At 40.6% G+C, this 25,767-nt stretch overlaps 1 long non-coding RNA gene across 1 annotated transcript in view, besides 1 other annotated feature; it reads left to right on the forward strand.

The window, feature by feature from the left end:
- Positions 1-25,767, forward strand: part of LOC101927947 (uncharacterized) — a 469,997-nt gene that overhangs the window by 46,283 nt on the left and 397,947 nt on the right. Inside the window, exon 4 of the long non-coding RNA XR_007058336.1 lies at positions 8,854-8,948. This is a non-coding gene — a long non-coding RNA (uncharacterized LOC101927947). The remainder of the gene's footprint in view (positions 1-8,853; positions 8,949-25,767) is intronic.
- Positions 5,922-6,085: a silencer, noted in NCBI's record as "fragment chr4:154802179-154802342 (GRCh37/hg19 assembly coordinates)". NCBI's record gives its function as "represses an EF-1alpha promoter that drives an FKBP-Casp9 reporter gene in an ReSE screen in HepG2 liver carcinoma cells {active_cell/tissue: HepG2}" and the evidence as "EXISTENCE:reporter gene assay evidence [ECO:0000049][PMID:32094911]".

Below are 25,767 nucleotides of genomic sequence, written 5' to 3' on the forward strand. Positions count from 1 at the left end.
TCCAAGGTATACTTGTGTGTTATAAATATATATATGTGTGTATATGTCTATACATACATATGTGCATATACAGACACACACATACATATATGCACTAAGTTATCACATATCACAAGTGAACAGCTTGATAAATGTTTAATACTGAACTCACTCATCTAACCAGCATTTGGATAAAGCCATAGAATATCACCAATACCCTAGAAGCCCTTTTGTGTTCCTTTAAGTCATACCCCTCCCCGAGGGTGGCCACTGTCCTCTTCCTAATAGCATAGATTAGTTTTACCTGTGTTGTGTTTTGTATATGGAGTCATATGATATGCACTATTTTGGTTATATTTTGTTTAATCACTTTGATTTGGATGTATACATTGACTCATGTCAGTCAACATTTGAATAAAACTACGAGAAGCCCTTTTCAAATGTTGAAAACATGTTTTTTGAGACACATTTAAGATATATATTCCAATTTCTGCTTCTCAAAAGCTCTCAATTCTTTTAGGGCTTTTCTCTAAACTCTAGAGCATCACAGCCAGTGAGAGCGAAGAGATATGAAAAATAGAATATAAAATATTAATATTTATGTTACTTATGTCTTGAAATAATATTTTGGATATATTGAGTTAAATAAGACATATTATTAAAATTAATTTTGTCTGTTTCTTTTGACTTTTTAAAATATGGCAACTAGGAAATTAAAGTTACCTTTGAGATTTGCACTGTATTTCTATTAGAAGCATTGATTTAAAGTGTCAGCAGGACTAAGAGAGACTCAGTGAGTTGAACAGTAAAGATTCCAAGTAACATCCTCTCTATGAGACCATCAAACTTTTTAATTTGTCCCTGAGAAAGGGTCTTGCTCTAACTCTTGCACAAAAGGCGATGTGTCTATGGTTCCCAGATTTGGATGAGATGGAGACTCGCTTGCCTTCCTATGTATTTTGCCACATTTTCAAAACCAAGTTACTTCATAAATGCATCAGTTTAACCACCAGTTTCTGCATATGTCATGTTTGTCCTGACTCCTGTCTAGCTTCCTGTGGCTCCTATCAGTAGGAAGGGACTCCTTTCTTCTGTCTGAACCATCAGATTGCACCTGTCCCTCACCTCTTCTCTCTGCCCTCTTTTCTAGCTGGAAAGCTAGAATAGGCACAGATTCCAAAAGACTTAATTTGCAAAATTTGTTGCAGGTCGATGTTTGGTTCTCAGTGTACATTTTCACTTGGAAGCAATGTTTTTTTTGTTTGTTTGTTTTTGCTTTTTTTTTTTTTTTTTTTGAGATGGAGTTTCGCTCCTGTTGCCCAGGCTGGAGTGCAATGGCATGATCTTGGCTCACTGCAACCTCTGCCTCCCGGGTTCAAGTGATTCTCCTGCCTTAGCCTCCCGAGTAGCTGGGATTACAGGCACCCACCACCATGCCTGGCTTATTTTTGTATTTTTAGTAGAGACAGGGTGTCACCATGTTGGCCAGGCTGGTCTCAAATTCCTGACCTCAAGTGATCCGCCCACCTCAGCCTCCCAAAGTGTTGGGATTACAAGGCGTGAGCCACTGCGCCCAGCAGAAGCAATGTTATACATTGAGTCTGAGGTCTTTGGCCAGTTGATGAGGCCTATTTTACTCATAATATATCTGAAGTATAGTATTTACATTTCTATTTCACACACGCTAATCAGAGGTGCAGGAGACATAGTAGCTCAGTCCTTGTCATAGGGGAGGGGAGGGTGGATAACTGCACACTGATGATTTATTCATTCTCTGCATAAAAGGAGAAATTGTAATCACTTAAGCATTCAACTTGGGTGAAATAGAGAACTGCTGCTCTGGACATAGAATCCATGAAAAGGTTAGGTTAATTATTGTGCTTCCTGTTTATAACATTAAAAAATACATTCTCACTCTCATTCAGCACCTATCACTTACTTAATTAGCATCTATTTACTTCTAGTCAGTTGTATAAGAGAGTAACACTATCTAAGTTTTTTGAGCCATGACTTTCAAATGTACTTGACTTTTTTGCTTTTCACAAATACCCCATCTCTCTCTCTTTGTGTAACAGTGGTCACCAGCTGGGAAATGGATGAGAAGGCCACATCCTTAAGGCACTAATTTTTGCTCTGAGTTTCTTTTCTTTTCCTTTTTTTTTTTTCTGAAGGGTTCTACAAAGTACCATACTCTTAGGCTGGTCTTTACTTTGTGTCACTGTGGGCCCTTGACTCTCAAAATCCTTCTCTATTTCTGGGAGAAGAAAATCTGGGATTGAAAAAACTGTAGACTTTTCTATCTTTGCAACACCACCTGCATTTCTGAAAGGCTTATTTGCAAACCAGGCAATTCCTTCTTGAATACATTTATTTCTTGTAATTTCTTGTCAATCACAATCAATAACAACTAACACACATTACTAAGTTTCTGTTTTCTAACCTGTTCCCCCTTAGGCCACCAAGTGCATTAAGTACGTGGTCTACTTCCCTGATTACTGCAGGCAACAGTTACCAAAGGTGACAACAGTGATTATCTTTAAAGCTTCTCATATCAGTTTTCTACTGCCTGCTGCCTAACCACGAATGTCACCTATTTTAAGTTTTTTTTTAAACATCAGCATTTTACAACTGCATATCCATATCTGTGTCAAGATAGACAAAATTATAACATTTTGTATTTACTAACCTCAGAGGCTTAACACACAAAGAATTATTTCTTGATTAAACAAAATTCTGTTAGGCAGAACACAGAATTCTCCAAGAAACCCTCCAAGAAAGCTTTCTTCTTGTGGTTCCATAGGATTGAAATTGCTTCTCTATTCTGGCCCTGGACCTCAACTCATAACCCCCACTCCACATCTAAGGAGGAAGAGAAAGCAGGAGGGTCATGTTGCTTAGGAAGTTTCTAAGTTAAGGAGTGACTTACATCCTCTGAGAAAACTGCATACTGTAGAGTGTTTCTCCATACTCTCTCACAGAACACTTCTGACACCAGATGTGCAAGTTTTTCCCTCACCAACACCAGCTGGGTGTCCCACAGTTCAATTCAATTCTGACATTATCTGTCTGGAATTAGTGCAGACCTCACAGCTTAAGGGCTCAGTGCCACAGGACTTTTCCCACTTCAGATGCCAATTGCAAATCCAGGACTTCTGATTGACTGGCTGTATATTGGGGATTCCCATGACCCCTTCCTTGCTTCAATAGTTTGCTAGAATGGCTCACGAGAACTCAGAGAAACACTCCACTTACATTTACTGATTAATTATAAAGGATGTAGAGGGCAAAGTATGGATAGGGCAGTAGAGCTTCCAGGCTGTCTCCAGGATGTGCTACCTCACAGCAATTCCACGGGCTTCTTTGGCAGACCAGAAGCCCATCTAATCATGTTATTCAAATTTGTATGGAGTTTAAGTGCATGCCCACCCTTCGCCTTCCTGGAGATTGGGAGGTGGGACTGAAAGTTCCAACCCTCTAATTACTTGGTCATTCTGGTGATCAGCCGCATTCCAAGGCTATCTAGGGGGCCCCACCCTGAGTCACCTCATTAGCATAAACTCAGCATCCCTACATTTTCCATTTTCCAGAGTTCTGGATGTAATTTAGGTTCATTCAATTAGAGGTACCTGTATGAGGTTTGGAAAATGGAAATAAAATGAAACCTCATGAGACCAGACTCATATTTCTGTTTCTTTCGTGGCAAGGAATGGCCATGAAAGTATTTGATTTTTCTGTAGTAACTGTAGTAGAGGCTCCAGTGCCTTATTCCTGGCTTCATGGCTATTGGGAGGCAGAGGATAGAAGATACATTTTGCTGGAGTGGATTGTGACAAAGGTGGCATGGTTCTGTGTCCACTATCTAAAGTGATGGTTTCCAATTTCACCTGGAGTCTTCCTGATTTTACAGCATTTTGGTCGTGGCAGAGGTATTGGCTTCCTTGGTGGCCTGGTTCTGTCATTCCTGGAAGCTTAGCCTTAAGTCTGTCTTTTCAAGTTTCTCATTTACTTGGCAAGCCATTTTATAACTTCTTATAAAATTCCCTTTCTACTTAAGTTGGCTAGAAAATTTGGGCCTAGTTTTCAGAAGATTTTATATGATATGTTGGCATTACCTGAATGTAGATATTGACAGTTCTACAGCCCCACTTCTGGGTGGCTTTGAAGGAACAGCAGTGAAGGGAAGGCCTCCCAGTGGGTTGTACACACTTGCTCATTTGGCCTGGAAGAAGAGGTATCCTGATTAATGGATGAGGATTAATGGTTTGACTAGACTCTCAAAGACTTGGAAGGAACACAATTGGTAGCCCAGTGACAAAGCAATCTGGGGAAGAGATATGTGGATGGATCTTTCCAAGTAGGCAGAACATAAATATATTTGTGTCCTGTATGAATGCTCACCAAAGAGCAGCCTTAGTCAGGATGAACTCAGTAATTGGGTAGACAAGTTTGGTGAACTTCCCTTTGGTTCTCCCCAGCCACCTTTGTCCTTGCTCAGTGTGCTTATGGATAAAGTGGCCAGAGCAGCAAGGATAGGGGTTAGGTATGTTCTCAGCAACACAGATTTCCATGCACTAAAGGGAATGCAACTATAGAATAGCAGATTTTCCAGCCTGCCAACAGCAGAGAACAACACCTAGCCTTCAATATGGCAGAATTATCCAGGGACCAGCTGGCCACTATTGGCAGTTTGATTACACTGGACTACTTCAACTGTGGAAGGAACAGCACTCATTCTCACTTGAATATACACTTACTCTGTGATATGGTTAGGCTTTGTGTCCCCACCCATATCTCATCTTGAATTGTAATCCCCATAATCCCCATGTGTCAAGGGTGGGATCAGGCGGAGGTAATTGAATCACAGGTGTGGTTTCCCCCATGCTGTCCTCATGAGAGCGAGTTCTCACGAGATTTGATGGTTTTAAAAGCATCTGTAACTTCCCTGGTTGTACTTCTCTTTCCCGCCACCTTGTGAAGAAGGTGTTTTGATTTCCCTTTGCCTTCAACCAGGATTGTAAGGTTCCAAAGACCTCCACAGCCATGCTGAAGTGTTAGTCTATGAAACCTCTTTCCTTTATAAATTACTCAGCCTCAGGAAGTTCTTTATAGCAGTATGAAAATGGACTAATGCAGTAAATTGGTACTAAGGTGGTGGGGTGCTGTTGTAAAGATACCTGAAAATGTGGAAGCAACTTTGGAAGTGGGTAACAGGCAGAAGTTGGAACAGTTTGGAGGGCTCAGAAGAAGACATGAAGATTTGAGAAAGTTTGAAACTTCCTAGAGACTTGTTGATGGTTTTGACAAAAATGCTGATCGTGATAGGGACAATAAAGTCCAGGCTGAGGTGGTCTCAGAGGGAGATGAGGAGCTCGTTGGGAACTGGAATAAAGGTGACTCTTGCTATGTTTCAGCAGAGGGACTGGCTCATTTTGCCTCTGCCCTAGATCTGTGGAACTTTGAACTTGAGAGAGATGATTTAGGGTTTCTGGCAGAAGGAATTTCTAAGCAACAAAATGTTCAAGAGTTGAGCTGGGTGCTCTTAAAAGCATTCAGTTTTATGTTTTCACAAAGATATGGTTTGGAATTGAAACTTATGTTTAAAAGGGAAGCAGAATATAAAAGTTCAAAAAATTTGAAGCCTAATGATGCAATAGAAAAGACAAACCCATTTTCGGAGGAGAAATTCAAACTGGCAGCAGAAATTTGCATAAGTTAACCAGGAGCCAAATGTTAATCACCAAGACAATGGGGAAAATATCTCCATGGCATGTCATAGGTCTTTATGGCAGCCCCTCCCATCAAAGGCCTGGAGGCCTAGGAGGGAAAAATGGTTTCATGGGCCAGGCCCAGGGCCTTGCAGCTTTGTGTAGTCTCAGGACTTGGTGCCCTGCATCCCAGCTGTGGCTACAAGGGGCCAAGGTACAACTCAGGCCATTGCTTCAGAGGGTGCAAACCCCAAGCCTTGGCACCTTACACATGGCGTTGGGCCGGTAGGTACATAGAAGTCAATAACTGAGGTTTGGAAACCTCTGCCTAGGTTTCAGAAGATGTATGGAAATGCCTGGATGTCCAGGCAGAAGTCTGATGCAGAGGTGGAGCCCTCATGGAGAACTTCTGCTAGGACAGTGCAGAAGGAAAATGTGAGGTAGGAGCTCCCACATAGACTCCCAACTGGGGCACTGCCTAGTGGAGCTGTGAAAAGAGGGCCACCATATTCCAGACCCAAGAATGGTAGATCCACTGACAGCTTGCACCAAGTGCCTGGAAAAGCCTCAGACACCTCACACCAGCTGTGAAAGCAGAGAATAGGTGGGCTGTACCCTGCAAAGCCAGAGGGGAGGAGCTGCCCAAGGCCATGGGAGCCCACTTCTTGCATCTGTGTGCCCTGGATATGAGACACGGAGTCAAAAGAGATCATTTTGCAACTTTAAGGTTTAATGACTACCCTATTGAATTCCAGACTTGGATGGGGCCCATAGCCCCTTCATCTTGGCCAATTTCTCCCATTTGGAATGGGTGTATTTACCCAATTCCTGTGACCCCCATTGTATCTGGGAAGTAACTAATTTGCTTTTGATTTTACAGGCTCATAGGCAGAAGGGACTTGCCTTGTTTCAGATCAGACTTTGGACTTAGACTTTTGGGTTAGTACTGGAATGAATAAAGACTTTGGGGAACTATTGGGAAGACATGATTGATTTTGAAATGTGAAGGAGACATGAGATTTAGGAGGGGCCATGGGCAGAATGATATGGTTAGGTTTGTGTCTCCACCCAAATCTCATCTTGAATTGTAATTCCCATAATCTCCACATATCAAGGGCAAGACGAGGTGGAGGTAATTGAGTCATGGGTCAGTTTCCCCTGTGCTCTTCTCATGATAGTGAGTGAGTTCTCATGACATCTGATGGTTTTATAAACATCTGGCTTTTCTCCTGCTTGTGCTCACTCTGTCCTGCCACCCTGTGAAGAAGGTTCCTGCTTCTCCTTTGCCTTCTGCCATGATTGTAAGTTTCTTGAGACCTCCCTAGCAATGCAGAACTGTGAGCCAATTAAACCTCTTTTCTTTATAAATTACCCAGTCTTGGGTATTTCTTCATAGCAGCATGAGAATGGACCAATACATTCTGGATACAGATTTATCTTTCCTGCTTCTGCCCAAATCACTCTCTGTGGACTTTCAGAATACCTTATTCATCATCATAGTATTTGATGCAATATTACTTCTGACCACTGGACTCACTTTATTGCCAATGAAGTGCAGCAATGAGTTCCTGCTCATGCAATTCACTGGCCTTAGAAAATCCCCAATACCCTGAAGCAGTTGGCCAGATAGAATGGTAGAGTGGCCTTTTGAAGATTCAGTTACAATGCCATTTGGGTGGGAACACCTTATGTGGTTGCTATAAAGCAGCAACTAATCTCTCCATAACCAGGATTTATATATCCAGGAAATCAAGGAGTGGAAATAAGAGTAGCTCCACTTACTATTAACCCTAGAGTTTTAGTAGTGAAAATTTTGCTTCCCATCTCAGTGACTTTGTATTCCACAAACATAGAAGACTTAGTTCCCAAAGGAGGAAAATTTCCTCCAGGGGATACACCCATGGTTCCCTTAAACTGGGAGTTGAATTTGCCCTCTGTTCACTTGGGCCCTCATACCATCAAATGAATAAGCAGTGGTTGAGGGAGGAGGGAGCATTGCTATAATGACTGGAGTGATTGATTCTGGCTTGTTGAGGGTTGCTGCTAAACAATGCAGCAAGGAGAAATATGTCTGAGCTAAGATGTCTGCTGAGGCAAAAGGAATATGGAATGGATAATGGAAGAAGAAAAGTATAAATATCAGCTAAGACCATATGACTAGTTGAAATAAAAGCATCATACTATTACGAGTGTTTCTTTCTTATTTTGATATGAACACACACATAAACAAATTCTTTTCTTGCCCTCCTCCATTTCTCTACCACCTAACCTCATACCTCTCTCTTTTTTGGAGACAGGGTCTCACTTTGTTGCCCAGGTTGAAGTGCAGGGGCACAATCATGGCTTGACCTCCTGGGCTCAAGCGATCCTCCCACCTCAGCCTCCTAAGTAGCTGGGACCACAGGCACATCTCCCTGTGTTGCCCAGGCTGGTCTTGAACCCCTAGGCTCAAGTGGTCCTTCTGCCTCAGCCTCCTAAGGTGCTGGGATTATGAGAGTGAGCCACTGTGCCTGGCCTAACCTTGTATCTTACTAGCCAAGTTATGGAATATCAAAGGGGGAAGTATGATTCAAGTAGAAAAGGAATGAGCATCACCAAAAGACAGATAAAGGGGCTTTGAATATTTTTGATACAAACAGGGTCAGTGTTTCAGGTTGGAGGAGAGTTTTATGATGTTAGGTAGAAGCATGACATTGTTATTATTTTTATTTGGGTGGTAAGTATAGTTAAAAGAGGGAGGTGGAAAAGGGGCAGACTGCAATGCCTTTGTTATGTGTCGACTAAGCTGGAACTATGTTTCCCAGAATTTGTTTCCTGTATGGGTTTTGGTAGGATAAAGCTGGGGCTGGCTACAAAATAAATTTGCAAGGTTTGGAAGGTGGAAGTGCAGTAGCAGATGTTACACTCTGAAGCCTGGTGGAGGGTACAAGGCACCTGCTGCTCCTCCACACGAGGCAGCCACTGGGCCCACATTCTCCTAGCTCCTGTCAGACCTCATCCTTCAGTTTTTCTGAATCTTAGGTCAGGTGTGTTTACAGTTTCGTGGTGAAGTGTGCCAGCACTTTCTGCACATCCCCATTGAGATTGGGGAAGTTGAGAGACAGATGCACGTTACAGTTTGTCTTTCTGGGTTCCCCTACTTCACACTTACCTTTTCTTTGCTTTCCAGTCCACAGATTTACAACTTGAGGTGGCCTGCACCAGACCCACGGGGCAATAACAGTCTTCCATTGAATTCTTTAGCAGTTTCTACAATTGCATAAGGTCAGTCACTTTAATAATTCCGTTATTCCATATCATTCACACTGGCATTGCTTTTCTGCTAAAACCTTGACTAAAATAAATGAATTCTGTTTTTTTTGAACCAAACTCTGACCAATATAACTTAAAAGGTAATGGCCTATCTTTCTAGTTCATTTAACAGAGTTAAAAGTTCATTCTGGGCTTATTCTTCACTACCAAACACATGTTTTCTAATCACTTATTACTAATTCATATATGCATCCAATCATTGTTTGCCATATTGTGTGAATCCAACAATGAATAGAGTTGGTGCCTGCCCTCAAAAGCTAATGGAAAAAGACAAAAACAAAGACAAAAACAGACATGATAAATGTGACTTTTATTGCCACTGCTCCGCTAAACTACTTATTCAAGGTTACTGAAGATTGACTATTGAAGGTCCTTTAAGTGCCAAATCTAGTAGCTATTTGTTATTCTTATCCCATTTAACATCTCCAGAAGCAATGAGCATTGAGCATTGCTAACTATTGTCTAGAAAGTGAGCTCTCTAAGAGCAGGGTTCTTTTTTTGTCTTGTTTTGTGCTGTGTTCCCAGCACACAAAATAATACCTGGCATGCAGAGGAGGAGTTAATACTTGTTGAATAAGGCTGGGCATGGTGGCTCATGCCTGTAATCCCAGCACTTTGGGAGACTGAGGCAGGCAGATCACTTGAGGTCAGGAGTTTGAGACCAGCCCATCTCTACTAAAAATACAGAAATTAGCCAGATGTGGTGGCTGTGCCTGTGATTCCAGCTACTCAGGAGGCTGGGGCACAAGAATCGCTTGAACCTGGGAGGTGGAGGTTGCAGTGAGCTGAGTTTGTGTCACTGCACCACAGCCTCAGTGACAGTGAGACCCTGTTTTTTCAAAAAATATTGTTGAATAAATGATTGAATACATTTGCTTGTTCTTAAGATTTGCTCTTTCATTGGTTTTTGAGATATTGTAGTCTTCCTGTATTTCTTTTACTAATTTCTCCCCTCTATTTTCATTAACTTTTCCTTGATAAATTGAAGCCTTCCTCAATATTCAACCTCTGCTTACTTACTTCTTTTGTATTACATTTATTGATTACACAAATATTTAATGAGTACTTAATCTGCATCAGGAATTGTGCTTGTCACTTGTGACCCAACAGTGAACAGGTCAAGTGTGCTTCTCTGATTTCATCCAATTCCCTTCAGACAGAGCTATCTCCATGAAGGTGACTTCCAAAATTCCAGCTACCTCCTGGAACTTTAAAAAAAATAGAAGCCCTGTGCTCAAATTCAACATGCCCATTACAGAACTTCACATCATTCACCAAAATATTCTTACATATAGGCACCAGCACCCTTGTGTTCATCCTTCTGACTCCACATCTCTTGAGCCTACATCTGAGGCTCTCCATCTTCTGTCCCTAAATCTCCTGGTCTATATTTATCCATTCATTTCACTATTTTCCACCCTTCCTGGACTTGTGGCCATTTCTTGGTACTTTATTTTGCTAAGAGCTGATGCTCCTTCCTCAGTCTGGAATGTCCTTCATTCTTCATGTCTTTTTTCCAATGGAAATCCTCTTTTTCTGTCAAAGTTCAGCCAATCACTACCCAAGAAATGCTCAAATTAACCCAGTCGGAATAAATCACTTTTACCCACTTCACTTGCACTTTTTTTCTGTCTTTCATTCAGGTAATTATTAACTTGTTTTCCTCCCCTAATAGATGGTCAGCTTCTTAAAGAGTTTTATTTTTATGGCTCCGACAGTAGCATCTAACATAATAGTAATTGACCATGGTAGGTACTCAATAAATATTTAATAAAAAATATACAGGGGCAAGAATGAAGCACTTTACCAAGCGGGGAGGCTGAATATGAAAGTAAGGTAGGAAGAGAATCCACCAGTGGGACCAAGCACAGTACTTGGAACCTGCGACTGTCAGATGCAGACTGTCACAAGGTCAGCTGGGCACAGGCAGGGGTTTTGAAGAGATCTGCATGAGGAAGGGAGTGGAGTTCAGCTGTAGAAGGTTTGAAACACTTTTGACCCCAGAGGTCATTCTCATACTGGAATTCATGGAAACTCCTCTCAGTTTTTGAGGGAGAGTCTACTATTGACCTGTCCCAGCATCAGCCAGATCTGTATTCTCTCTCTCTCTCTTCATTTCTATACCATGCTAGAGACTCTCAGGCATACATGAAAAGGTACTGACTGGTGGAGGGATTATAAAAGCTGGAAGGACATGTTTGTTGCCTGAATTTCCCTGTCTCTAGAATATCTTTCTGTGTCTTCTCTATAAATAAACACATCTTCCAAGTAGAAGTTAGAAATCTCAAGTGTTATTATCTTATAAGGTGTGAGGGTTATGCATTTGGCTGAATATTATCTCTCCATGTACACACACACACACACACACACACACACACACACACACACAAGACTTGAGGAAATGGACATGTCTCATTATGTTCTGTCACATCCATTGCAAAGGGAACTTGCCAAAGCTGTTCATTCATAACTCTGACTCAGTGAGGAGTGGCTTTCTTGGGCTTGTATACATGATCAGGCCTCTTTGATCTGTTGGCTCTGTTATTTTGAAAAACTTTTATTTTTTCCAAAACAGACAGAAAAACGCAGTTTGCTTTTTTGAGCAGAGATAGTAACAAGGCAAGTCATTTATGAGTTATTGCAAAATACCACAAGAAACAGCAGCTGAGGAAGGAAAGGGCAACTTGGGCAACACATTGACAACTATCTGGATGAATTAGAAAAGTGTGTTCCAGCAAGAGTTGGGATTAACAGCAAATAAAACCACATCCTCCACAGAAAATATTAAACTTGGGACTAGACTATGTTTTATGTCTTTGTCCAGACGTCAGGATTTTAGAGCTTGTGACAAGAATGATTTTGGTGAAATGTTTTGTGATGGAAGATGTATTATGATGATGATGACTGTTCATTATGCTCATACATTTTAATTTGGGATTATTAGCACTGGGTACTCTTTTGCAAAAAAGGGACGATTTCTACTGGACTTACTGCAAGGTGCATTCTGTGGCCATCTTTTTTTTAAAATAATGAATTGTTGTGGATAAAATTTATGTATAGTAAGACAGCTTGTATTTCTCTCACCATTTCAAGAGTCCCAGTGGCGTTGCTCTCAGTATGTTAGAGGTTTGATTGTTTATGTGGGCTATTCTGTTTTTGTCCAGAGTCTGTGTATATAATCTACTTAGATTTTGGGGGTCTGCTGTCTCTGGCCACTCCAGTTCTGGGTCTGACATCATACACATGTGTATGGTTTGCACTGAGGTGCTGCTTCTCTTTTGGTCTGCTCTTTAACCAACAGGCAGTAATCCTCAGTTGCCAGAGTCAGTCCTAACTGGAATCCATCTGGCTCTCTGCAGCACAGCATCCTTGCCTAGAAATATTGAGCAATCAACACTTTATATTTTTTCACCCATAATCTATGATTTCTCACTTAGATCATGTTTAGGGTTCCTAAACTCTTCTCTAGAAGAGATTAATTATATTTTGCAAAGAAGTGGGAAGAGCTAATTCATTTGATGTGTTTATCCATTTCATAACATTTCTAAAGATCTTAATTTATGTTTTGTGCACAAACATCACTCTAGTCATTAGCCAATGGTCAGTGTCATCTTTGTTTTAGTGAGGGAGACCAGAAGCCTGAAGACATGATCATCTTACCTCATGGCCCAGCCTAGCCACTTAGCCTGTGGAAGGGTCAGGGTCCCTGTCTTTTAGGTCTTGTCACTTTAGTCATTAACAATGTACCCTTCATGATCTCTTTCAGCTCATTCTCCACAAGCAGTAGCCAGGTAACAAACATTACAGGGAGTCAGACAGAGAAAATGTTCCAAAAATCATAACTTTGTTACATCTTATTCTTTCAGGAAAAAAAAAAAACTTTCAACTTAGCATCTGGACCTAAAAATGAACCAGCTAATTAGAACAAGGTTTCTTAAAAGCAGAACAAGTATTTCTTATTTACTTTAGGTTTCTGTAATTTCAAACTTGAGAGTTTTGTATAAAATGCTTGAAAAAAGAAATAGCCAGTATAAGAAGTGTGCTAAAAGTTGAACACTAATTAGCCCCTCTGTTGAAAAAGGAAAATGAAGGAAGCATTGAGGTTTGATTGTGCGAGACACAGTCAGGAGAGAAGGAGAAAAGAGAAATAAGGTAGAAACTCACTTTTGCTTGTTTTGTTTTGTTTTACCCCGATTTTTTGCAGAAGGCAAGATTAGTGGTAGACAGGACTCGTCTGTATATCTTAGGAAGATTTTCATAAGGATCGCCTTTGCCTGTGTACACCTTCCAACTGTTCCTTGAGATTTCATGTGAAATCCAGGGGTCCCTTTGGTGTCTACTCTATCCTTTCACACTTACCTGCACTCTCAGAGCACTTTGTCTGGCAGCCTCATGTCTGTGGAAGTATGACAGTACTATTCCAGCTCACAGACTCAGAAGAAAAGGTGAGACAGAGAGTGTGCTCTTTCATGGAGTTTTGAACAATCAATTTCATCCCTAAAGTGCACGTGTACTTGCTTAGTTCATGAATAAAACCAATTTTACCTCTTTTTGAAAATGATTAATTCATCTACATAATAGTAGAAAACTCTTTGCCATGTGCCAATGAAAAGTAGCTTACCTTTTCTCTTCAATTTCCTCAACTGTAAAAGAGGGATTTGACAGGTTTCCTTCCATCACTGAAATATATGAGTCTATTCTTATTCTGTTACTAACTGAAGTAAATGATCGTATTCTCTCTTGTAGATGGGAAGGGTGATTCTGCTATTTATCTGGGTAGTCTTGCAAGTTGTGCAATCTCAAGCACTGAGCTATTGGTGTGGAGTTTGCTTCTAAGCCATTCGCTGTCGTTTATTTTTTATTTTTTTGTAGTTACTCATTCTCTATGAACTATACTAATACTTCCTAAAAGATGTTAGAGGAAGTCATGAGATGTTCATAAAATTCTGCATGACTTACAGAGCAAGTGCTGAATAAGTATAAGGTTTGATTATTCCTAGCAGCAGTTGCCTGCAAATCTGGGCCATGCCTTTGAGGGTAATTTTTTTTTTAATAAGTTCCACCATCTTTATAATTTTTAAGTCTATAGTTCAGTGGGCAATCTCTTTTGGTGAGAAATAACAGAATGAGTTATTTTTCAAAGCATATTTTCTAAACTGAGAGGTTGAAGGGAGTGATAATTTGGTTCCTTGAAGGATAAAATCTGAACCCTCCCTCATGACTGGTGAGGCCCTACTGGACCTGGCTCATGCTGATAGGTCTGATGTCACCTCCTACCATGCATCTGTCTACATGCCAGCCAGCTTGCCTTCTTCCTGTCCCTTGGATGCTCCAGATGGTTCCTACATTAGGGCCTGAGCACTTTCTCTTGCTTCTGAATGGAATGCCCTGTACCTGGATTTCCATGGCTGCCTCTTTCTTGTCATTTGACATTCTGCTTATTGTTACCTCCTAAATGAGGGCTTCAGTGGCTACCTAATTAAAACTAAACTAAAAAATTAAAACTAGCCCCCATCTCCACCTCACCTCCAGTCCAGTCAATTGTCTACCCTATCACCTGGTTGTATTCAATTAATGCTAGGTAAAATGATCTTGTCCATTTATCTGTCTTATTGTTTCTTGTCTGTCTACCTCTTGCAGAATGTAAATTCCTTGAGGGTGCAAACTTTGTTTTGGTGACCACTGCATTCAACAACTGTTTACTGAGTGGATAAATAAATGATTACTCTCTGCCAGTGCTGTCCAAGTGAACTGATGAAGATGTTCTATCATTTGCACTATTCAATATGGCAGCCTCTAGTCATATGTGCCTGTTGAACACTTGAAATGTGGCTACTGTACTAAAAACTGAAGTTGAAGTTTTATTTAATTTTAATTAATTTAATTTTTAAATCATCACATGTGGCTAGTGGCTACCGTATTGGATCTTAAAGCTGTGTTTGGCCTATGGTACTTAGTAACTGAATCAATCAGTAGCAAGATATCAATAGTGATATCAACAGCAAGAGCAGCAGCAACTTTTGGAGTGTCCTCTTCCTCTTTCATGATACTTTCTCTTTTTCTCTCTCAGTGGGATCAGTGAGGTAGAAAATCTTCATCCAACAAGACTGTGAAATGCCATCTTTTGAAATGCTTTTAGCATCCTTCGATGTGAGCAGTAGAGGAAGTTTAATTAATTGTCCTACGCTTTTCTGGGCTGCTGAAATGCATATTTATCATATATATTTTTTTCTGCTAATAACCTGTTAGTTGTGAAGAATTACATATTTAGTAGTTTCTTAAGAGGTAGGATGTCAAATGGCTTTCAACTAAAAGTTTAAAAAGTATATGCATCTTTTCAGAGGAAGACATTCACTATTATGTAGCACTCTTACTACAAGCTGTAATTTATTCAGAGGAAGCAAGAACTAACATCCCCATTCATAGTTAAGTCCGGACAAAGCTCTTTTGTAAAGAAACTGTTTATGTACCTTCAACACTTTAAGGCATCATTTGGGGCGTATTACCTTACAGGTGATTTACGTTTTCTGTTTAGTATCACTTCTGCTCCTTAGTCTGTGAAAGGAGGCTGAATGGAGAATTTTTTCCAGGCTTGCAGCTTTCTGCTGCTTAAGCCTGTAGAAATACTCCATGTATTTGGAAGTGTGCTGCTAGGGGAATAACAGTTTTTAGACTGCTGACTTGTCCATCGTTTATCATCATTATATGGTGTCTGTCAACAGAAAACCATTTCTCAGAATTCCACAAGGAGTCATTCCATATAGAAGTATGGAGTCTTGTGACAAGAAAAAGGCATTGCAATGGAAAGTAATAAGAAAGGGGGTGGAGGGATAAACAGAAGCTTTTAGAGCTAATTCATGGCTGGCGTCATCTCCATTAGCATTGGGACTGTTTGACATTGAGTTCAGAGAACACGACCAGGGCTGGTGTCCATCTGTCACGGTGATTAATGGGAGTATTGTTAGGTAATAATAATTTAATAACATAGCTGGAGCCAAAGAGGCACACCAAAAGGGTATATGTAATTCTAAAACCAAGAGGAACACAAGAGCCAGGAAATTGGGGTCCTGTTCTCAGCTCTACCTCTTAGAAAAGGGCAGCCAGTAAGAAATTTTCCCCTAAGTTGAAAATGGGTAAGAGTCTACCAATGGGTAAAAAGGGTCATTTCAGCTCTTAGGAAGGATGGCCATCTTGGTGGTTTTAATGTACTTGTATCTCACGGATCGAAAAAGTTTGTTAAACTATAACTCTTCTGAGACGTGGGAGTAATGGCAGCCAATGAATCAGACAGGGAAATAGACAATTCTTTATGTGAATAGGCTGGATTCAATTCTTCCAAATAATATCCAGATTGCATTATATGATTGGTCCCACACTTGTATCAGTGGCTATCTATCATTAATGTGAAACCTAAATGAAGTTTTCTTGCTCTTCCGGGGCTGCAAGAGGCAAAATCTGGTCAACCTATAACAAATTTCAATGAAGTTGCCCTTTCCCTCAGCTGGCAGCAACCGTTGGAGGGTCACAGACCCAACATGACCCATACAAACCCAGAACCTACACCATATGGGCTTTTACTCTACAATGTTGGAGCTTTTAAAGTGAGAAATCACTTTTCTTTCTTTCTTCTTCTTCTTTTTTTTTCTGAGACGGAGTCTTGCTCTGTTGCCCAGGCTGGAGTGCAGTGGCACAATCTTGGCTCACCGCAACCTCTGCCTCCCAGGTTCAAGCGATTTTCCTGCCTCAGCCTCCTGAGTAGCTGGGATTACAGGCACCCACCACCACACGTGGCTGATTATTGTGTTTTTAGTAGAGATGGGGTTTCCCCATGTTGGCCAGGCTGGTCTCAAACTTCTGACCTCAGGTGATCTGCCCACCTTGGCCTCCTGAAGTGTTGGGATTACAGGCGTGAGCCATGCATCCAGCCAAAAAATCACTTTTCTTACAGGAAATTGGCAAAGTGAGACTATTTATATGTTGGCTTTCCTCCCTGTCAGTTTCTACTCAGTTTTTAATCCAGTTTTTACTTAGAAAATTTCCCCCAAATGGATCTAAGCACGAATGGAAAAAGGTTTCAGGAAGTAAGAGTAGGTTTATGTGAAAGGGGAGGATGGAACCTGGCCAAATGCCCTCTGGACCAAGTGGCATGTGTGGACCCTAATAGCTCTTGCTCCTTGTTTAGTCTATCATGGTATCATGGTAGCTTGAACTCCTGTGGGAGAGAGAGGCCAAAATGCACTAAGGCTAACAAAGGAAGATTGAAAGTAAACTGCAATCCAAGAGAAGGAATAAGAGGGCTTTATTTTTGTTGTAGTTGTTGTTGTCTTTTTTTTTTCCCTCAGTTGTTTAAACTATATTTCTTTTCCCCAGTGGTTTGAACTAAATTTCTTTTCCTGCTTCCAAATGGATGTTCTGGGGGCTAAGAAAATTAGGACAAAAATTCAGGGTTCTCAGATCAGGTAAAGGATTTTATTATATATTTGCAGACAGGGTAGGTGCTCTTCATCTCCTATGCCTGAGCAAAAGCAAATGGCTATCTGAAGGCAATCAGGGATAATTTCTATCACTCACAATCAGGAGGAGGTGATGCTGGGTGTCTAGCCTGTAGGCTTCTATTTAACTCTGGTCTCAGTTTGAATGTGTTTACACTCTACAGAGTTCAATGGGGGATTTGACTTTAGTGGGAGCACAAGGTTTTGTATTAGCTTTTTCTTCCCCAGGGCAAGTCAAGGGGAGGAGTTCTGATGAGAATGAATTAGGGTCAAGGATATTGATTGGCCCACAGTACGAGGCTGTGGAGCTTTGGTGTAATTGGAGAGTGAGTTCAGGGTCTGAATCTGTGTTGGTTTTGTTTTAGACTTTTCCTTCCTAAAGAGGCCTCGTGGAAGGAAGTTAGACAAGTCCTAGGCCCCACAGGCAAATTCTTGCTTTCCCTTCATTTCCCTTGGCATATTTCCTTGGACTAAGCTTTGGTTGCCATCAGAGTGATAAGATGAAGAGGAGACTTCAGTGTAGGCTGGGGCAATAAATAGAGGGGTAAGAGACCACTTAATCTTTCTCTGGCCTTGACATAAGTGGAACTATCATGGGCTTTGGTGCAAAGGCCTCTGGGTAATAAAGGTGCATTTTCCTGGTCTTCCTTTCTGAACATGCATTGCTCTCAGAAACATTGAAGGGATGACTGGGTTGAAGGACTGTGGATCCCCAGCTATTATTCAATTTTTAACTTAAGACATGATTTGTAAAGTAAACACTTCCAGTATCTATTTTGATGCTGCTTCTATTTCTCAAGTAGACTGCCACATATTCTTGACTTCAAGCTGAACAGGCATGGATGGATCTATCTGTGATCTGAGTTACAAAAACCGTAAGAGAATAAAATGACATTCTCATGGTAGTCAAGTCAAAGGACAGATTTGTCTCCTTTTCCCTCTCTTTTGTTAATTTACTATAAATCAGTGCAGTCAGCTTGCTGTAGTGCAGTGAGCACCAGCTTGGAAGTCAGATGCTGTGTTCAAGCTTTTGGTCCTCCTTCACCAGAGTGCATAGCCATCCAAGTCCTCTCATTCTATAAAACAGAAAGTTTGAAGTGGAGAATCACCAAGTTCCCTTTCAACAACACCATGCCGACACAACAAAGCAGACAACCGAGGCAATTCCAAAAGGAAATTTATGTCCAAAGACTTGTTTGCTTGAAATATAAACATCAAGGCATAAAAATAGCTCTAGCAGTTTAGTTTTAAAAGTTAATTTCGAGTTCCTTATTAATTAAGTAATTAGAAAAGTTTTCTAACTGCTGTTAGTTGAGGCAAAGACACTTTGAGAGTTTATGTGTGTTTTACTTAAAATTGCTATATAATTATTTCTTGACTTAATTTCGAAAACAAAGATCATAACATTCACAGAACTATTACATACTTTACAAGATTTAATCATCTGTTTAATATCCATGTTATCTCCCAAAGACATAGTTAGTTATTGTCCACATCAAGTACCTATTCATTTGTGTTCATCTCCCCAGCTCCTTGTCTTTCTTGATGACCGAGTCTTATTACTGTTATCTTCTATTCAGCTCCCTGAGGCCTCTCAGAGGGGTTAGGTGTAGAACATGCTAAAAAGACTATAGGTTTGATCTCCACACAGGTCACCTGTTTTGCCCTCTTCTGGCCATAGCTTATGCCTTTTCTCTACCAGCTACTCACAAATGAGCCCAGGAGAATATGGATGGATCTGCACAAATCCATCACCTCTGTGGGAAACAACAGTTTAAAGTGGGCTTTATTCTCCTGATGATGGGTCAGTAATAATGAGATCATTGTTGTCAGGCTAAGAAAATATGAAAGTCTGCCAGAAGAAACCATTTTGGCACCCCCCTGAGTATATTAGTCCGTTTTCACAGTGCTATAAAGATACTACCCAAGACTGAGTAATTTATAAAGGAAAGAGGTTTAATTGACTCACAGTTCTGCAGGACTGGGGAGGCCTCAGGAAACTTACAATCATGGCAGAAGGCAAAGGGGAAACAAGGCACCTTCTTCACAAGGCAGCAGGAAAGAAAGAAAAGCCCAGGGGAAACTGCCATTTATAAAACCATCAGATTTCGTGAGAACTCACTCACTATCACGAGAATAGTGTGGGGGAACCGCCCCCATGATCCAGTCACCTCCCACCATGTCCATCCCTTGACACATGGGGATTATGGGGATTAAAATTTGAGATGAGATTTGGGTGGGGACACAGCCAAACCATATCACCCAGTGACAGTCACATGCAGAAGGCTGGAAAAGAGAATCAAACGAGACAGCACCTCTCAGTTCTGTTTCCTGGTCTGGTTATTTCTAGGTGATGGACATGGGACATGCTTGATGGCTGGTTTACTGAACTGACAATGACTGAGTCTCATATGCTCTAACAGAGCAGTATGCTAGCTATCTGGGGTGGCAGCAACAGAAAAGAGGCCCCAAATGTAATCTCTACTTTACAGTGATCATTCATCATTGTGCTTTACACGATGCAATGTCTTGACTGGAGAAAGTTCTCTCTTGTTTGTATGTCGTGATTATTTGTATGGTTTACTGTGAAACTGTGAGTTTTAAAGTTTCCATAGTTATATTCCTTTCTGGGCAGGAATTTCCTCAAACTTTCTATCTAAAAATTTCCAGTGAGAAATTGATAGAAGAAATCCAGGAAAGACACAATTATTTGTCACAGAAGAGAATTCTTGTATCTTACCATTAAAATTTTTTCCTAGAGAAAGAAAAGTACTGTGCCAAAACTGGAAAAAATGGTGAAGTACTTTTAAAGCTGTGAAAGTTTGGATATGAGTGATTGGAAAAAGCTGCCCTTCCCCCACTTTTGTGTATTGATTTTTGGTTTTAGCCTGGCCAGTGTTAAATTTTCCCTAGGTCAAATTGCCCTCCATTAATGCAATTTTAATTGAAGCAGAGAACTGAGGTAATAATTTCGTCTTTAGCAGAAACTTTTTTTCTTGTTTTTTTTTTTTTTTTTTTTTTTTTTTGAGAGTTAAGTTAGAATCTTATCCTTCTAAAGCCCAGTGACTTCATATGCAAAGAGTACATATGGAAGTTAATTATGGAAGTTAATTCTGCATGAGCACTTTGCTAAGAATTTTCCAAACCCCACATTTTCATCATTTTTGTTGTTGATTTTGCACCTTAATTGCTGTTATGCAAAATAGAGACATAGCATAAAACATACAATGTGTATAACCTGGCTGAGAGAAAGTGCTTTTTAGGAAAGTAACATGAGGAAAGTTTTAACGTTGTGTTTGTCTTTGCTTTTTTGAAGAGAAAAAGAACAAAATCAACAACAAAAAACCCAAAATTTGGTCTGGCCACCACGGAGCACAGTAAGATCTGCCGAGATTCTGGGCTGCACCTTTCTACTGTTGAAAGTCTTTTATAACCTGGCTAGGAATTAGGCAGCTTTTAAATTTGGCAGGTCTCTGGGTTCCATTAAGAACTCATTTAAATCCTTTTTCAGTTGAGCCTGAATTTTAACTACCCCTTGTGGGTTTCAATTAGGATTGTTATAGAATTAGGTGAGGATGGAAATTAGATTAATGTAAAGAAACAACAGCAAAGATACTATGTTAGAAAATGTATGATTCACATATCTAGATTTTACCATAGTCATCAAACCATGAATAATATAGAAACGAATTATTAACCTGATAAAACATGTCAGGCAATTGATGAAATTACTGCATACTTTGGAAACCTGTAGTAACAATAAAAGCACGTATAGTTTTATGGCTCTGAAGCAAATTGCCTGCATCACCTGCAGCAGGTTTAGTTGATATAACTAAACTAATTAGATAAGAAATAATGAATGAAAATAAATATAAAGGTCTAGGTCAGATGAAGAAAAGCTGTATATAAAATCTGTATGTTATATTTGTATTAAGGTCTTGTTTTAAGGTATGTGAGAAAGGAAATTGCAAATTAAGTCTGGTGCTACGTATACTAAGAGCCCAAGTTTTAAAACTGTACAGTATTGTTTGGCATAAAACATTTTCTTTCTGCCAGCCCCCTCTTCTTTCTTCCCAACACACAACAAATACTGTTTATCTCCTTGGAGTGGGTGAATGCAAAATCAGACCCTGGTTGACCCTATTTTCAGAAAAATAATGACTAATGATGCATAGTTAACTTCTCTGGCAAAACAATTATAACAAATCGTATAGTAAAATGGGCTTTTTAATTCATTTTGTGTTCGGTTATATGAATTTTAACACATTTATGGATTTGGGTTGCAACTACCACAATCAGGTTATGGAACAGTTCCATCACCCCTAAAAACTCCCTTCAGGTACTTTCCTCCTGAAGTCACATTCTTTTTGAGTGGAGATGTCATTGAGACACGTCCCTAACTTGACATGTTCAAAACACGACACTTTCAAACCATTGTAAAAGTGTATTATCTCTTTTGCTCTCATTTTGGCGTTTGTTTATATGTTAAGTGCTCCTCCCCGAGAGTCCTATACAGTTGACAAATTTCCTCAAAACTAAATGGGATTGAATTGAGTATGATCATCTGACCCAAAGGCAGGACATGCAGAAATGTTACTGGAGTAGTGTTGCAAATTGTAATTCAAGGGATTAAGCTGCTAGGAACTAGCAATAGTCAAGGGAAGGGCTTATGATTTGGGATAGGTAGGACTTAAACCCAGGGAACAGAATGGGAAATGGATATTCCAGGCTGAGGAACTGCATGAGCAAAGCATACAGGTGGGAAAGTGTGAGATCCGGCTGAACACAGCAGGTAGCTCTGCATGGCTAATATGAAAGATCTGTGGAAGGTGATAGTGGAAAAGAAGCCCAAAGGTATACCAGAGTATGGATTTTCTCTAATTGTTGGTGGGAGATCATTGACTTCTTTCTGAGTAGGTAGGAGATTTGATATGAATTGTGATTCCAGAAAAATAAATGTGTAGGACACACCCCGCTTTGGGGACAAGAATATGTGAGACATCCAGAAAAGGATCCCAATGACACCACAAGTTTTCTTTAGCTGCTCCTCAGTGAATTCAAGCCTGCTTGGTATCAGAACCTTCTGCGTGTGTCTTATGCTGGGGTATGGAGACGCATGAAGATTAGATTTCATGTTGGTCTTAAAATATCCTTTGGTTACCCGTATTAAGTTTAGGATTAAAGAACCCTTGCAGTAGTGTTAAAGAGAAATACCAGGTGGTATTTTTCCAATTATTAGAGTCAAGAGTCTAATGTCAAAAGGGGAAAAAACCCAGATCAGTAGCATTTCTTTTATTTTGTATAATTCCAACTTTTATTTTAGATTCAGGGGTACATGTACAGGTTTATTACATGGGCTTATTGCAGGATGCTGAGGTTTGGGGTACAAATGATCCCATCACCTAAGTAGAAGGATGGAAACCCTGTGGGTAGTTTTTTAGCCCTTGCCCTCCTCCCTCTGTTCTCTCTTTTGGATTCCCCAGTGTCTATTGTTGCCATATTTATTGCCCATGTGTACCCACTGTTTAGCTCCCACTTATGAATGAGAACATGTGGTATTTGGTTTTCTGTTCCTGCATTAATTTGCATAGCATAATGGCCACCAACTGCATTCACGTTGCTGGAAAGGTCATGATTTCATTATTTTTTATGGCTGTGTAGTATTCTCTGGTGTATATGTACCACATTTTCTTTACCCAATTATTTGCTGATGGGCACCTAGGTTGATTCCATGTCTTTGCTATGGTGAATAGTGCAGCACTTCTTAGAGACATTATTTTACAAGACTTATTCTTGTCTGAGCGAGCTGTACATCATACATATAGGAAAATAATAGCAAACCTATACCTCAGATCTGCAGGAACTCATTCATACAAAAGCATGTAAGTGCATATACTACATATGGGGTATACATATTTTCTGGAAGCCCAGTTGTGGGTTAGGCTAGACTTTAGAAAACTGTGGCAGCCATCTCCTGGCACCTCAGCCTAAGTTATCCTGGCTAGGCCATTCAGCTCTCATCTTCTCTGTAACCAGAGAATGTCCCATCATTATTAAGGTCTTTTTGGACATTGGTCCTTTTTTGATGACTTTCTTACATTTTATTCTTTCTTCCTCCATTTCCTGCTAGCTTCCAGGTTCCTGATCCAGTCTCTTGAATCCTGCCTCAGTTGGCCTCCTGCATAATCTGCCTGGTTCATTCCTGCCCACCCAGCCCATAACTTCCACTGGATCCTTACTCTTGCCTGTGTCTGGCCTCTGATGGACTTACCTGGTGTTGACTCCTGACCTATTTCTGATGTTACCCAAATGAGGCATATTACTACCAAGGATCTCTAGTCCGATTTATTTCAGATCACTGACTAAACTTTGAGCAGTGGATTAAAGTTCCATCTTCCACCACTCTTTGTACTTTTTATTCTAGTAATATCAAATTGTTTTCAGGCCTCCATGCCCCACTGTCTCCAAAAGAAGCATGTGACACCAGGATGTTTCATAACTGCTTTACTCAAATGGCATGAAGAGTTGGTTTGGGGCACATTTAGCTCAGAAAAGAGTCCTGTTTTGTTTTGTTTGAGATAGGGTCTTGCTCTGTTGACCAGGCTGGAGTGCAGTGGTGCCATCATAGCTCAATGCAACTTTGGCCTCCTGGGCTCAAATGATCCTCCCACCTCAGCCTCCCAAGTAGTTGGGACTATAGGCATGCACCACTATGCCTGGCTTTTTTTTTTTTTTTTGGTAGAGATGAGGTTTCACTGTGTCACCCAGGCTAGAGAAGAGTTTTAAAAATTCTCGTTTAAGGCCAGGCACAGTGGCTTCTGCCTGTAATCCTAGCACTTTGAGAGGCTGAGGCAGGTGAATCACTTGAGGTCAGGAGTTTGAGACCAGCCTGGCCAACATGGCGAAACCCCGTCTCTACTAAAAATACAAAAAATAGCCGGATGTGGTGGTGTGTGCCTGTAATCCCAACAGTAGCTGGGCAGGAGGGAGGCTGAGGCAGGATAATTGCTTGAACTTGGGAGACGGAGGTTGCAGTGAGCTGAGATCAAGCCACTGCACTCGAGCCTGGGCGACAGAGCAAGACTCCATCTCAAATAAATAAAAAATAAATAAATTAAAATAAAATTCGAGTTTAGTTCCAGATTAATAATCAGGAAACTAGATTTGCTTCTGCTTTAGATAGATTCAAGAGAGCTTAGAAAAGAGCCTTGGTTCAAAATTGGGTTAAAAAATGCATTTAGTTCTAGGGCCAGGAAATGAGAATGGTTTCTTTTAGTTTTAGATTCATGATATTGTTTGGGTTTTGCTTGGATTAAAAGGACAAAGACAAGATGGATATGCAGACTGTAGTAACTAGGTGACATGTCACCTGAGGGGCTATGCAACGGTAGGAGTAAAATTTATTTTCTAAGTGATCGGCTGTGGCACTGTGTAATATAAATGTTCCACAAGATTACAGTCCTGTATCCAAAGCACAGGGAGGACAGAGAAGATGCTAACACATGTGACATGACGCCACAAACAACCATTCCCCTTTGGGCCAAAGAAGACAGTTGATCTTTGTTGTCGCACAGAGGGGAAACTGATTTCAAGAGATCTGTGGAACATGTGTTCTGCTCATGTCTCTAAGGACTACCAAGAAGAGTGGTGTCTTGCTTAGGAAAACACTGAGACCTGGGTGTTAGGGTCAAATTGACCTCTTAAAAAGACTACTACCTTCTTCTGTGTGACCTTAAAACTGTCTCTTAAGAGCACTTGAAACTCCCTCAACTCCAGAGACATCCATCATAGCTTGGTATGATTAAGGAGGCTTTTTCCCCCTTTCACAGCAAAATGACTGTTTTGAAGCTCTCCTGAATAGCTGAAGGGGAACGTTGTCACTTTGGTTATTCTTTCTACAGACTGAGCACTTCCAGGGATATTCTGCAAATGTGGGGGTAGGAGGAAAGCACAGCTTTTTGCAATTGGGTTTTTCCATGTCCCTGAGACACAGAGGACGTCTTTACTCACTGAGCATGTGAGTCCGCCCAAGCTTCGTCGCTTGCCCTGCTAGCATGTGTCAACCATGCACGGTGAGATTATAGGGACTGGAGAAACAAAGGAAGGCTCTCCCAGGAGGGGAGGGAGTGGAAGTTAGTAAAGATGCATGTCTTATACAGCAGCAGATAATGGGACTGTCTCTGCATGCTATGTCATTACAGCTTTGCACTGAGACAGCTCAGTCCACTTCTACACACCTGCCTCTTCTCAGGCAGAGGGAGGGAGAGGACAAGCATGCA

This window comes from Homo sapiens, chromosome 4 (genome assembly GCF_000001405.40).
Source record: "Homo sapiens chromosome 4, GRCh38.p14 Primary Assembly".
Lineage (NCBI taxonomy): Eukaryota > Metazoa > Chordata > Mammalia > Primates > Hominidae > Homo > Homo sapiens.